This window comes from Homo sapiens, chromosome 5, assembly GCF_000001405.40.
Source record: "Homo sapiens chromosome 5, GRCh38.p14 Primary Assembly".
Classification (NCBI taxonomy): Eukaryota; Metazoa; Chordata; class Mammalia; order Primates; family Hominidae; genus Homo; species Homo sapiens.
This window is the reverse complement of record NC_000005.10, coordinates 12,631,260-12,645,880: the sequence shown is the minus strand read 5'-3', so window position 1 is coordinate 12,645,880 and position 14,621 is coordinate 12,631,260. Positions and strand designations below refer to the sequence as shown.

The following is a 14,621-nucleotide window of genomic DNA, read 5'->3' as shown; positions in this document are numbered from 1 at the left end:
TTGCCATTGCTTTTGGTGCAAAACTCCATTAAAATCTTAACTGATTTTTTTTCCTTTTGGCAGTTATTGATAAGATGATGCAATAAAAATGCAAGGGACTTAAAAACTGAAAGCAGTCCTGAAGGATAACAATGTTGCAGAATATAGTATCAGATAAGAACTCATATAAAATAACAGTACAATTTAAAAATGCTATTGATACAAACAAGTATAAATATCAATAAAATTTAGTGGAGAATCTAGAAACACAATCATACCACACAAATAATATCACCTGATTATGACAGATTTGCTCCTGAAATTTAGTGGTGCAGTGAGTAAATGCTTTAAAAAATGCTTAAATTAGATTCCTACTTTGGGAAAAAATTATCTAAATTACTACCTTACACTACACAGAGTTATCAATTTAAAATGAATAGTAGACCAAAATGTTGAGTACAATGATAAAGTTTTGAGAAGAAAATGGAGAAGAATATCTCTTCAACTTTCAAGAAGACAAATATTTATTAGCAGTTAACAAAAGTATTGACATGCTAAAAGATTTGATTATTTAAACTTCATTAAAAATTTTGAAAATCACAAATGATGGCTAAAATGGTAAAAGAACAACAGTTTTATTCACAATGAACACATGAATTACCCAAATATTTCTCAACATTATAGGAAGTAATTTGTGCTTTTTATATTGTGCATTACTACAAAAGAATGAATATGAATGTGCTACCACAGTACTGCAACACATGAATGAATCTGACAGTTACAATGATCTACAAGAGAATTCAGATAAAAATAGTATAATCTACCATATTATGATATTAATTTCAAACACAGGCAAGCCTACTCTGTGTTTGTAGAAGTCAGAGTGGTTATATTTTGGGGAAATATTTACTGGAAGGAAAACAAGAGGAATTTTTATGATTCTATAAATACTATATATCTTGTAATGGGGTGTATCTTTAAGAAAGTTTTAGTTTATGAATATTATACCTCAATAAAATTTATAAATATATATATAGTTAATGTTAAAATATTCCATTAGTCTTTCTTTTTTATATGTCTATGAATCCTTCCTAACCAATATATAATTGATATTGACATTTTCCTTTTGTGTCTTCTTGATGTCACATTCACTATGTATGTATGTAACCACTTATTTATCAATGGGCATTTAGGCTGGTTCCATATTTTTGCAATGCAAATTGTACTGCTATAAGTGTGTGTACAAGTGCCCTTTTCATATAACGACTTATTTTCCTCTGGGTAGATACTCAGTAGTGGGATTGCTGAGTCAAATGGTAGTTATACTATTAGTTTCTTAAGGAGTATTCATACTACTTTCCATAGTGGTTGTACTGGTTTACATTCCCACCAGCAGTGTCAAAGTGTTCGTTTTTCACCACATTCATGCCAACATCTATTTTTTTTTATCATGGCCATTCTTGCAGGAGTAAGGGGGTATCAAACTGTGGTTTTGATTTGCATTTCTCTAATAACAGGTGATGCTGAGCAAGTTTCTTGGCCATTTGTATATCTTTTGAGAATGGTCTGTCTATTCATGTCCTTAGCCCACTTTTTCTTTTTTTCTTTTGGCAGTTGGCAGAGCTAGCTGAGATTTTATTTACAAAAACAACAATTGAATTGTTTTGTAGCTAGAGGCATGGGCAAGGGTAGTACCCCAGGCAGTAAGCTACCCCCACGTGTGAGCTTAGCCCACTTTTTGATGGGATTATTTTTTTTCTTGCTGATTTGTTCAAGTTCCTTGCAGAATCTGGATATTAGTTTTTTGTGGAATGCATAGTTGGTAATATTTTCTCCCACTCTGGGGGTTGTTTATTTTCTCTGCTGATTATTTCTTCTGCTATGCAGAAGCATTTTAGTTCAATTAAATCCCATCTATTTATCTTTGTTTTGGTTGCATTTGCTTTTGGGTTCTTGCCCATGGACTCTTTGTCTAAGCCAATGTCTAGAAGGGTTTTTCTGATGGCTTAGCTGAGTAGGGATACGTAATATAGCACAGTTTCCCTTCAGCACTTATACTTCTATTTTGTACTGTATTTTCCCTAATACCAAGTGAACTGTTAGTCTGTTATTCATTTTGGAGGACAACACCATGTTTTCCTTCAGTATTTTTAACCAAGTTTTCTTCATTTTTAGTATTCCACATTTTCCTGCCCTCTAGATATGGATTTATTTTTATATTTTCTCTTTGTATTCAGAACTCATTGTTTCTGAGGATTCATTATTTTCTTCACACCTGAATAATTATCACTAAGAAAGTACCTCCTTTTATTATCCCTTCAAATGCCAGTTTCTTCACAATTTCCTCTAGTGTCTCATTCTAGGAATCCTGTTAGATGTTTTCTCAAGCTGTTAAATGTGCTTTCTATTTCATTTAACATTTTTAACATATTTTAAACACTTCGGTATTTGAATTGTGTTTTTTGAGAATTCTCTAAATAATTTAAACTTTCTCTTATATTTTTCAAGACTAGAACTTATTCCATCTACAATTATTTTAATTGTAATAAATATTGTTTCACTTAATCAATTTTATCCCTTTTTCTATCTACACATTATTGTTAAACTTCCACATATATGGTTCTTTACTTTCTTATTCTTTCATGTAATCCCATCTCTTCATTTTCTTTTGACATATGTAAAATGCATGCCCTAATTCTGTGATTTTCTTAATTTTCTTGATATTTCCTCGTATTGAGAATTTTGTTAATACGCTAATTTTAGGTGAGACTTTCTAGCTGTTATGAGGAATTCAGATCACCAATCCTACAATAATATTAAGGGTATGATAAATTAGTTTCTTGGTCATCAGGCAACTAAGTTCAGATCCTGAATTAAATCACTTAGAAGATAAATATGGATAGAGTTTTTAAATACCCTATAAAAACATAGGGTAGCTAAAGATAATTGTTGATGCCTAGGTTTGTGCCATTCTCAACATTAAGGACAGAATATATAACCAAGTCCAGAATAATATTTAAAAATATCAGAGTGAGTATATATGAGTAAACTGAATTTAATTTAGTTTAGTACCTATAGTTACTTATTTCAGTAAAAGTTTATGATTATGCAGTGGTCATAATGTTTATGCTAAACATTTTAACTGCATGCTTTTAATAGAGTTTATTTTCAAATAAATCATTTCTTGTTTTTATTCATGTGTTCATTGTTTGAATATGTTGCGTTTTAGTACTTAAAATGATGCCATTATAGATGATGAATGATGCTACTTAATGAAAGCTGGGAAAAGTTATTGAGATGCTACATTTCACATTTTATTTTATAGATTTAAACAGATGACCTATGCAAAGTCTGGTATACAACTAAGGGGAAAAACAGACTAATGGCAAGAAATATCTTGTGTCAGCAGTACATGGAAATCACAAGGTGGTAGCCAATTGCATGAAAAGTCTGATGCAACTTCAAACCTGTAGAAACTTCTTAATCAGTCATCTGGAAAATTGTTAACAAGGAACTGGCAATCCAGGAAATAATTTGTATACAAGGGTAATGGAAGCATATAAAAATAAAACAAAAGCAGGAAATAACTCTGAAGAAGATTCTAGCTATTTTATCAAGAAAATATAAAAGGTTTCATTTTGCACAGGTATCAATATAAAGGAGATGCCTATCAGTGTATACTAACTAGATATAAACATTATTCAGTAATGTTATTTTTTCTTCGTTTTTGTATTTGTTTCTTTTATTACACCTACAGTATAACTAAATTTACAATCAAAACAAGTCAATGAAAAAAAGAATATTAATGCTATCAAACATAATAAATTAAAGTGAAATGCTAATGGGACTCAGCATAATAAGAAAATGGGATAGTTTGATGCCAGAAAATATAAAATAAACCTCAAAGCAAATGCAAACTAAAATGTTCAAAGATGTTAGGTAGAGAAATTTTTTCTCAAAGTCAGGGCGGTTAAGAGTCACAAGTAGTAAGGAGCTTTAAATTTAAAATGCCACCAAAACCAAAAGTCTAAGGAAATAGTGTAATTCTAATCAACTTTTTTTTTTATTTTGTAACTAACTAAAGGTGGCATGTGTTTAAAAGGATTTACTATATAAAGCAATACTCTTTAATCTGGACACAATTTCCTTAGAAATATTGATCTTCCCTGTTCATGTAGGGAAGTAATCTAGATAAGTAATCTTTTTATCCTGGACAAACTAAATCATTTAACCTCTTAGCCTGGGCTCAACGGAAAGCAGTACAGAGGCAAAGCCTTGTTTACAAGTCTTTTTATTGACAACTGTGGGCCCAGAGGTGGGAATAAGAATTGGAGGAAAGAAGCAAGAACGAAAGAGAATACAATAAAGGATGCATCTTCAATTTGACCCACTGCTATGGGTGACTATTGGTTGGATCCATGACCGCAAGACAGAATGGGAAAACTATTTGTTTACTGGCTCTTGTTCCTTATTGTCTAGAAAACTTCACCCTCTAGAGCTTTAACTCTGTTGATTCATAAGTATGGTGCAGAACAGTCTCCCTCAGAAGCTCACACTGCATTAACAGAGAATCCTTTAATATGGAAGCAAAGAGCACAAAATCCTCCTGTGGCAAAGTGCTGCCATAATTCACGTTGGAGATGAAAGGAAGGTGTATGAAACTAGTCACTGGACTGCTTGGAATAAAAGAGAAAATTGAGGCCAATTATTTATAAGTGATGCAGAAGGGGTGTCCAGGACATAGCACTATCTCCTGTGCATAAAATTATAGCAAAATTTAGACTACTTTCAGCTTAGCAGATGAATGTTTGATATAATTTGTTTGGTCAAATTTATCTGTTAACTTTCACCTGTTCCTTTAGAACTAAACACATTGTCTCCAAATCCAGAGTAGGATCTCAGAAGAATTTTTATCTTGCGACATGGTAATAAAAGTGTGGTTCATAAGCCAACAGCATTGGGTCAAGGTTGGCTGTAAGAAGTGTAGAATTTCAGGCCCATTCCCAGATCTAATAAATCAGTTTTTCATTTTGATAAGATCCTCAGGTGACTTGTAAACTTATTAAGTTTAGGAAAGCACTCATTCAGGTGGGATCTTTGTCAATTTTACTTTCATTGTTTTATATGACACCTAGATGGCTAAATAAGTGGAAATAGATCTGGAACTAAGATATCGATCTCTGAATTAATTCACCTCTAGTGAACAACTTATGAAAAAATATACTGAAAGAATTATTCAATTTGTCATTACCCTGGTATTGTTAAATGATTATATTAATTTTTAGAAAAAAATGCATTTTTAATGAATCAAGTAAATTAATTTACTAGTACACTGAAAAATTTGTTTATATAAATAATACATGTCATTGCAAAAATTTAAGAGGAAGAAAGATGTTAAATAATCACAACCACATCATTTAGATTCAATCTATTTTTTTCACTCTTTAAATTTTATTTATTTATTTATTTTTAATTTTTTAAAAATTATACTTTAAGTTCTGGGACACACATGCAGAACACGCAGGTTTGTTACATAGGTATACACGTGCCATGGCGGTTTGCTGCACCCATCAACACGTCATCTACATTAGGTATTTCTCCTAATGCTATCCTTCCCCCAGCCCCCCACCTCCCGACAGGCCCCAGTGTATGATGTTCCCCTCCCTGTGTCTGTGTGTTCTCATTGTTCAACTCCCACTTATGCGTGAGAACATGCGGTGTTTGGTTTTCTGTTCCTGTGTTAGTTTGCTGCAAAGGACATGAACTCATCCTTTTTTGTGGCTGCGTAGCTAGAATAACCAGTTTACAGAAGAACATAAATGAACTGATTGAGCTGAAAAACAGCAGAACTTCATGAAGCATACATAAGTATCAATAGCTGAATCGATCAAGTGGAAGAAAGGATATCAGAGACTGAAGATCAGCTTAATGAAATAAAGCATGAAGATTAGAGAAAAAAGAAAGAAAGGAACAAAGCCTCCAAGAAATATGGGACTATGTGAAAAGACCAAACCTACATTTGATTGGTGTACCTGAAAGTGATGGAGAGAATGGAACCAAGTTGGAAAACACTCTTCAGGATATTATCCAGGAGAACCTCCCCAACCTAACAAAACAGGCAAACACTCAAATTCAGGAAATACAGGGAACACCACAAAGATACTCCTCGAGAAGAGCAACCCCAAGACACATAATCGTCAGATTCACCAAGGTTGAAATGAAGGAAAAAATGTTAAGGGCAGACAGAGAGAAAGGTCCTACCGCATTCTCACTGTCACTCATACACTAACATCCTCAAGTTCCTTTTTAATCAGCTTAGATTATGTGGTCTATCATTAAAACTGCTGCGTTTTATCAGGGCCAGATTTAGGGTGAAGTACTTCCCTCAGGTGTAAAGTTTAAAGCATGCCAAATTTAATCTTTTAGTGCAGTATGGTTTTTTGTTTGTTTTTTTAAATCAAACGTCCTTTCTCATGAAAACATGCTCAGCAAACTATCAACATTTTAGTAATGACAGGTTGGTCCTAATTGGTCCAACTCTTTGCTCTGTGTTATCTTCTCACATCATCCCAAGTGATCTTTTTAAAAATAAAAATTACATCATGATTCCGACCTGCTCACGAGTAGGTAGTAACTTTCAGTTAAACTCAAATGAAATGTCAACCCTGACCACATCAACAAGGGACCACTTGATCTCCCCCCTCCACATCTTGCTTTATTTTTCTTCTTCATTTTTTCTTGGAATTTTTTAGAGACTCACTTGTTTGTGCTCCTTGAACGAAATCTGCACGGTCTTTTCTTAGATTTATGGCTGCTTTTCTTGAATTGCTCTTGTCTCTGCTCCAGAAAATCCATTCAATTTTATTTTTTCTAAATTTAGTGTATCCATTACCCTAACAATCTTGATTTATTTATATTCTTTATTTAATTACTGTTCTTTATATCATGTGTTCTTTCATTGAAAAATCATATTTTCATTTTTTTATTATTCCCTAATAGATTTGAGAGCTCTGAGACTTGTGTTGACAATCGCACTTATTTCAAATAAGGATATTAAAGTCTATTCTTCAATATTTTATTCACAAAATGCATACTTAGTATTATTTTTTATAATTCCATAGACAATGTGTTTTACTTATTTATTTCTTTATTTAATCATCATATGAGAAAAGTCCTCCACTAAACTCAAGCATTCAAGGAAGAATGCTATCATGGTATCTCTTCCAATAAACTTTGTAGTTTCATTGAGATATGGAAAAATTAGCAGGTAATAATGACAAGCCATGGTTATGTAATGATAGGGGAAGCACAAAGTTATATGTGAAGCAGAATATAAAAAGGCAAATATAACTCATAATTAACAGTTCTTAAGTACCTTTCCAGAAACAATAAAAACAAACATAGGCATGACAGGCAGGTAGCATACACTCAGGCAAAATGTCTGTGTGTGCAAAGAATGGAGGACCTGCTTGCAGAATAAGTGGTATGCATAAAAGCGAAAATTGTATTTAAAAATTTGAGAAGTTGAAATGACTTAAAAGATGTAGAGAAGAGACTGAGTACCAAGAAGAAAGCAAGATGATGCAAGATGAGGTTTTATGAGTAGACAGGGTAGATATCACCTAGGGCTTTGTAAATTCGAATACTAAGTATGAATTCTACCTTCAATGAAAGGTGAAGCATGTAGAAATGGCATGATCCAATTTGTGTTTTTACATAATTCTACCTGAAGTACAGCTAATAAATTGGGGAGGAGCAAGGCTGAAGAAAATTGCCAGTTAGTATACTATTGCTGTGTTCTCTGAGTGACATGTTAGGATGCAGACTGAGTAATAAATACAGTTTAGACAGATATAAGTAAATTGATTGAAGTTTTCTTTTGGATTTAAAGTGTTGATTGAATATATAACGAATACTGCAGTAATACAGAATTCAGGTATTCTCCTTGATTGAGTCTTCTAATTGTTAACCAATAGATATATCTTTCCCCCATTAGTTTCTCAACTTTTTTTGAGAATATAGTTCACTATATTATAAATATACATACCTATATTGTTGTATATATTGTATGAACATAGTTACCCTACATTATGGTTTTAAAGTGTCTATTTCTTATTGGTTAGTAGTTTTTTTCTCCTAAAATCAGAAATGTATTCCAACTTTTCTTAAGTGCATTTTGGTACTTATCAACATGATTGCATCACTTTATTCTCCAACCTAAAATAAATATATCTTTATGAATTTCTTTATGCTAACAAACACTTCCTTCAGAATGAAGCATATATGGCCAAGATATAGAATTCCTCTACTGTACAACATGTTGAAAAATTTTGAAGCTACATTCTAAATTTTTATTTAGAAAATAGTAAAACAGTATATTAACATACATATATTAGTATACCTTTTATTAATACACTGATATGGTTTGGCTGCATCCCCACCCAAATCTCAGCTTGAATTTAGCTCCCATAATTCCCATGTGTTGTGTGGGACCCGGTAGGAGACAACAGAATCATAGGGGCGGTTTCCTCCATACTGTTCTCTCGGTAGTGAATAAGTCTCACGAGATCTGATAGTTTTATAAGAGGTTTCTTCTTTCACTTGGCTCTCATGCTGTCTTGCCTGCCGCCATGTAAGATGACATCCCTTGCTCTTCCGCCATGATTGTGAGGCCTCCCCAGCCATGTGGAACTGTGAGTCCATTAACCTTTGTTTTCTTTATAAATTATCCAGTCTTGGGTATGTCTTTATCAGCAGCATGAAAATGGACTAATACATACAGTAAAACTTTAAGAAAGTGCAGAGTGAAAATGATTCTGTTTACTTGTTTTTATAAATAATGTATTTATAAAATGTGACATAATTTGGACCAGTTCCCTGTTGCTTTCTTGAAGCAATCTCCTTCTCTAACTTCCTAACAAAGAAAAAGTGTTCTGCTTTTCCTCCTTGGAATCTTCTCTTCTTTAAATTATTGACTTTTCTCTTTATAAATGACCTCTCAGTATTGGCGTTTTTAGTCCTGAGCCCTCTGCTTTTCTAATTCAATGTCTATTCCCTCCTTCCTAGGCCTTTTGTCAATAACGCTGGTATCTTGTTCCTGTTCTGCATCCCTGATTTAAACATTAAACAAACTCATGGACATTAGCACTTAAATATGTCATAGTCATCTCAAAAGTATCATTTCCAAAACCAAATACTTGACTTCCTGCTCTCTGCCCGTAGTATGTATTCTCCCCCTCTGCTTTCCTTGTCATTCTGCATAAAACTACATTGCTCAATAGTTTACACTAAAATATAGGAGACAATTCGATTCCTCTGTATTTCTCAATATTTCACATTCATGCAACCAGCAAATCACGCCATTTTAAAGTCAAAACTATATCCTAAGTTTATCTGATCACTTTACTTCACTCCCATTACCACTAACCCAATGTGTCATCACACTGTCTGACTCACTGCACCTTATGGTAAATCGAATTAAACCTGGCCTGAGAGAGCCTCTGTACTTAAATACGTGAGTCATTATGGATAACCTGTATTCTAACTTAGTAGGTAGGCAATCTGAAAACAGAGCTTAATGGTATGCTTTGATAACAATAGCTGTGTTTAAGCCTATCCCAGTAGTCAGATGTCAACCACTCATCCACGGTCAACTCTTCAAACCATGTTCAAATAAGGCAAATGCAAAGATGTAACCAGTCCGGCAGTTTCTGTACTTCGCTTCCACTTTCCGTCATCACTTATCTTTTTCAGTTTATAAATTTTTTCCAGCTGCACAGTTGCTCCAGAGTCTATCTGAATCTACTGTGATTCTAAGAGCTACCTGATTCCTGAATCGTTTTTCTTTTCCTTGCTCAAATAAACTCTATTAAATTGAATTTGTCCAAAGTTTTTATTTTAAAATTTAACCATAATTTATTGAACTTAATTTATTTCCCTCCTTCTTCTCTTGTTACCACATACAAGCAGAGGCAATTAGATGTTGACACTATGGTGATGATTTCCCAAAAATGTCAGAGTAAAATTTTAACCTTTTGCTCTACCTTCTAAGGCCCTGCATTGTGAAATTCTTACTTACTTTGCTAAATTCCCTTATATTTGCTCCATGTGCTGCAAGTTCAGAAAATGCATCCAGTTCAGAACTCACTTTGTAGAATCTATTTAGTTTCTACTATTTAGTCTAGAAGGTGTTTAGCACTTGAAAGTATTGCATGACTCCTTTTATCCATATACTTTCATTATTATATGGACAATACTTTATACCTCAACTTCTAAAATGTGTTTTTTATACATACTGTAAATATTTCAGGCTATTGGTATCTCAACTTCTCCTTGTTGAGATCCTATGATTTGTAATGCACTACATGACTCCAGAAAAATAACAAATGGCTATATATTTTATGATTAGGATATCCACAAAACAAAATAAAGTCACAGCACATGAGATCATAATCATGTAAGAAAAGATCGCATGCCCTCTAACCAAGACACAGAACTCTTTAGCTCTTCATTAAACACTCTCTGACAGGCTCTCTACCATGTAACCATGAACACGTATTGGTTTTGCCTTGAAGGCTTTAAAAATAGTTTTTGCTCAATCATAGGTATTTGTTTTCCTTTAAAAACTTTGGGGATCATGATATCTCATAAGTCACAAAGAACTGCCTAAGATTAGAAATTTTATTTCTATTGAACTCTTGTCTTGTCCCATTGAGAAAATTAACAGAAAACTCAAACTGTAATTGCTAGATTTCAGGGGAATCACTCAAGAAAGGATTCACTCCAGGTTATTATCAAAGTATTTTATTTTTTTATTTCCAGATAAGTATTCTGTATCTTTGTGTTTAAATAAACTAATTATTTCATAGCAGGGAACAAAAACCCTCAGTACTTAAAATCTTCAATTATGTAGCAGGTGTAGTGATTCTCTTCTGTGTTTTTATTTTTTTTCTGTTCACCATTTTATTGGAAGGACTCAAAAATTGACACTTTGTTCTCTTGGGAGATGACGATCTAAGTTTTTTGTTGTTGTCTATGTTGGTCTTGATTAGGTCTCATGACCTAGACCACCAGAAAAGCCCATAAAGAGTGTCAACAAAAAGAGAACAATGTGTGCAGCATAGTATAAGGGACAGAGGGTGGGCCCTACAGTGAGCACGTCTTGTATTCGAGACCTGGATTGGCCACCTCATTGATCCTGAGACTTCTTAAGCTCCAAGTCTCAAGTCCCTCATCTGTGAGATGGGTTGACAATACCTACCTCCTGGGGTAAATGGTGAGAGAGTTTTAGAAAAGACAGCATATTTTAGGCCCATTCACAGAGTTAGTGCTCAATGTGTTAACTGCAGATTAAAAAGGAATAAAACCTCACTTTCCTTAATGCTGTCATCATTGACTTGTTGCCTTTAATGTCCTAACCTGCATTTCCAATTCCAAAATCAGAACTTATTTTCTCAATGAAAAGCTGATGGAGAATGCAAGCCTAAACTAAGGGATAAATTATTTGCTTTTAAGTTTCAGAAATGTAAATATGCAGATATATTTGGAAGAGTATTAATGAGTTATACAGTCAGTTTTTAAACTTAGCAGAAACCATGACTTCCTGGATTAAAAGGGAGCATTAGTGACAAAGTTTGCTGAGATGCTGACATGTCCTACCTAAATCTTCTTAATAAGTTAAGCTATGAGTGCGTATGTGTGTGTGTGTATGAATGTTTGTGTGAGAATGCATACACAGGTGTTGTTAATAATAGCTCAACAAGATAAGTTTGAAGATTGAAAAAAAGGGAACATTTGCATGACTTACAAGATAGAAATTTGGCAGGTAGAAAGTCCTATCAAGATGTCACTTGTTCTCCCTTTATTTATTTTCATGCCTGGTTCTTGAAGCAACAAAATTGATTTTTTTACTCATTTAAATTGTGGAGAGAGCTTAATGAACTCATATAGAATCTAGTGTGTTCAAAAGTGTTGTGAAATTAAACTCCAGAACTAGAAAAATTACTAGAGAAACCTTGATTTCAAATTGTCTCAAAATCTAGAAATTTGGAAGACTGTCACAAAACATTCAAAGGAGGTGACAATTTTTAAAGTATGTTTTAACTTAAAAGCAAGAGATTGTGAACTAAAAGCATAGTCTGTGTATCAGTAAGAATATATAGGCTAGGGTTATACACATGAACAAACTAAACCCAACTAAAGTGGCTTTAAACATCAGAGGTTTATTTCTCACTCACATCATAATTTTGAAAGGTAATCTGAGGCTCTGCTCTCACATTGTGGTTGACCTCATTCTAGGACCCAGGCTTATGGATCAGCCAACAATCTAGAACATTGTTCACGAAACATAGCGGAGGCAAAGAGATTTCTAGAGGATCTTACTTCAGCATTATATACATCATCCCAGAAGTGGTGCATTTCTCTCTTTCCCTTCCAGCCCATCAGCCAAAACTAGCAACATAGCCAAAACCAATCTCAAAGAGAACCAGAAGTACAATTATGCCATTGCCTGAAATATTATGGGAGAACCAGAATACTGAAAAAATACCCTGCTGTATCTTGCCTTCTGTGCCACTCTCACAATCAAGAAGAGATAAAATATTGTGAAATGATAATGGTGCTGAAAAGGAGGAGCACAGGAATATTCCTCCACAGAATAAATAAGGGCATGTTGAGGAAAGGGGATCTTGCCTTTGGCCAGGATGAATTATGGAGAATTGCTGCCTGCAGTTGATACCTAAGTGATACAATGACAACTACTTTCAATTCTATTTTCAAAAGTGTGTGAGTAAATCAAACTGAATTTAGACATATATATTTGGAATATATTCTTGTGGATCTAATTGTGTATAAAGACAGGAAACTGATAATTAAAGGGCAAGCAAAGCATTCGCGCCTACTAAGGCTCACATGCTCAAGAAATCAAGAACACAGTAAACACTTCGTTTTTTGTTTTGTTTTGTTTTGTTTTTTGTTTTGTTTGTTTGTTTGTTTTGAGACAGAGTTCACTCTTGTTGCCCAGGAGTGGAATGGTGCAATCTGGGCTCACCGCAACCTCCGCCTCCCAGGTTCAAGCGATTCTCCTGCCTCAGCCTCCCGAGTAGCTGGGATTGCAGGCATGCGTCACCATGCCCGGCTAATTTTGTATTTTTAGTAGAGATGGGGTTTCTCCATGTTGGTCAGGCTGGTCAACAATTCTTTAGCAAATTGGGAGGACGTGGTTTGGATATCTGATAAAATGTATGCCTTGACTCCCTTTTGTGGAAAAGTTCATACCTTCAAAGGAAGCACTCAGAAATATTTTCTGTATACTACATGTGAGAATGCAGCCAGCCTCACTGACCTAGCAGCAGTAAAAAAAGAGAAGCAAAAAAATGAAGGAAAGACATTTATGATAATGTTGGGTCATGATGGTTGAAGTTTTTTCTCAGGAAGAGGAGCAGGTAAGGGAATGGGTTTGTAACCTGACTGGGAGGTTTCTTTGCAAAAGTTGACTTAGGGAAAAGCTAAGAGGAAACCAATCTGTATTATATTCTTGCAAAGTGTTATATAGTTGAGATGAATAATAAAAATGTTTTTATTTTCCACTAGGAAAACAAAGTTGGATATGTTTTCCTTGTGTATGTCACTTGTGCTTATGTGCACATCTTTCTCTTTGATACTTGTCAAGAAGTGAAGTTAATAGGAAATAGTCATGTAGATTTTTAATTCATTACAAATATCTAATTTCTTCTTAAAATAGCTACACAAGCTGAACTCCAAACAAAATGCTTTTTTTTTTTTTTTTTGAGATGGAGTCTCGCTGTGTCACCAGGCTGGAGTGCAGTGGCACAATCTCGGCTCACTGGAACCGTTGCCTCCCGAGTTCAAACGGTTCTCCTGCCTCAGCCTCCTGAGTAGCTGGGACTACAGGCGTGCGCCACCACGCCCGGCTAATTTTTGTATTTTTAGTAAAGACGGCGTTTCACCATGTTAGCCAGGATGGTCTCAATCTCCTGACCTCGTGATTCGCCTGCCTCGTCCTCCCAAAGTGCTGGCATTACAGACGTGAGCCACCAGGCCCAGCCCAAAATGAATGTATTTTTCTAGGTTGCCAAAACGAATGGTATTTTGGTTGGGTAAATCTTCACTACCCTGATTAGTGAGTTAGAGTATCTTTTCAAATATTCATTTATTTTCAGTTTCATGTCTATATTGTTCCAATATTTTAATCAACTTTTTTGACCTGATCTAATCAATTAGAGGCATTTTTCAATATTTTTTGACAACTTATCCTTTGTCTATTATATCTATTTGAAAATGGATTCTTTCAGAATCACGTATAAAATTGTACTTTGTTATAAGAATATTTAAGCATACTGCAGTTGCTTGTTGCTTTTTATTTAATTTTTGTTACAATCAAACTTATTAGAAGTTTAATTTTATAGATTTTGCTTATTGGGACTTGCTCTAGGGATTCATCCTTACCTTGAATTTATAAACATATTTTGATATATTTTCTTCTATTAAGGTATTACATTAAACTAAATTTAATTTTTGAAATATATAAGGAATAGGTAAAACTATCAATTTATCTATTTCTAAGTGGATTACTAGTAAATATACACATTTTGTAAATAAACTTGTTACATTCTTTTTAAAAC

The 14,621-nt window shown here is 33.9% G+C and overlaps 1 long non-coding RNA gene across 1 annotated transcript in view; it reads right to left on the bottom strand.

The window, feature by feature from the left end:
* The window catches only part of LINC01194 (long intergenic non-protein coding RNA 1194), a 230,327-nt gene that overhangs the window by 159,303 nt on the left and 56,403 nt on the right, over positions 1-14,621 (bottom strand). The window lies entirely within an intron of this gene.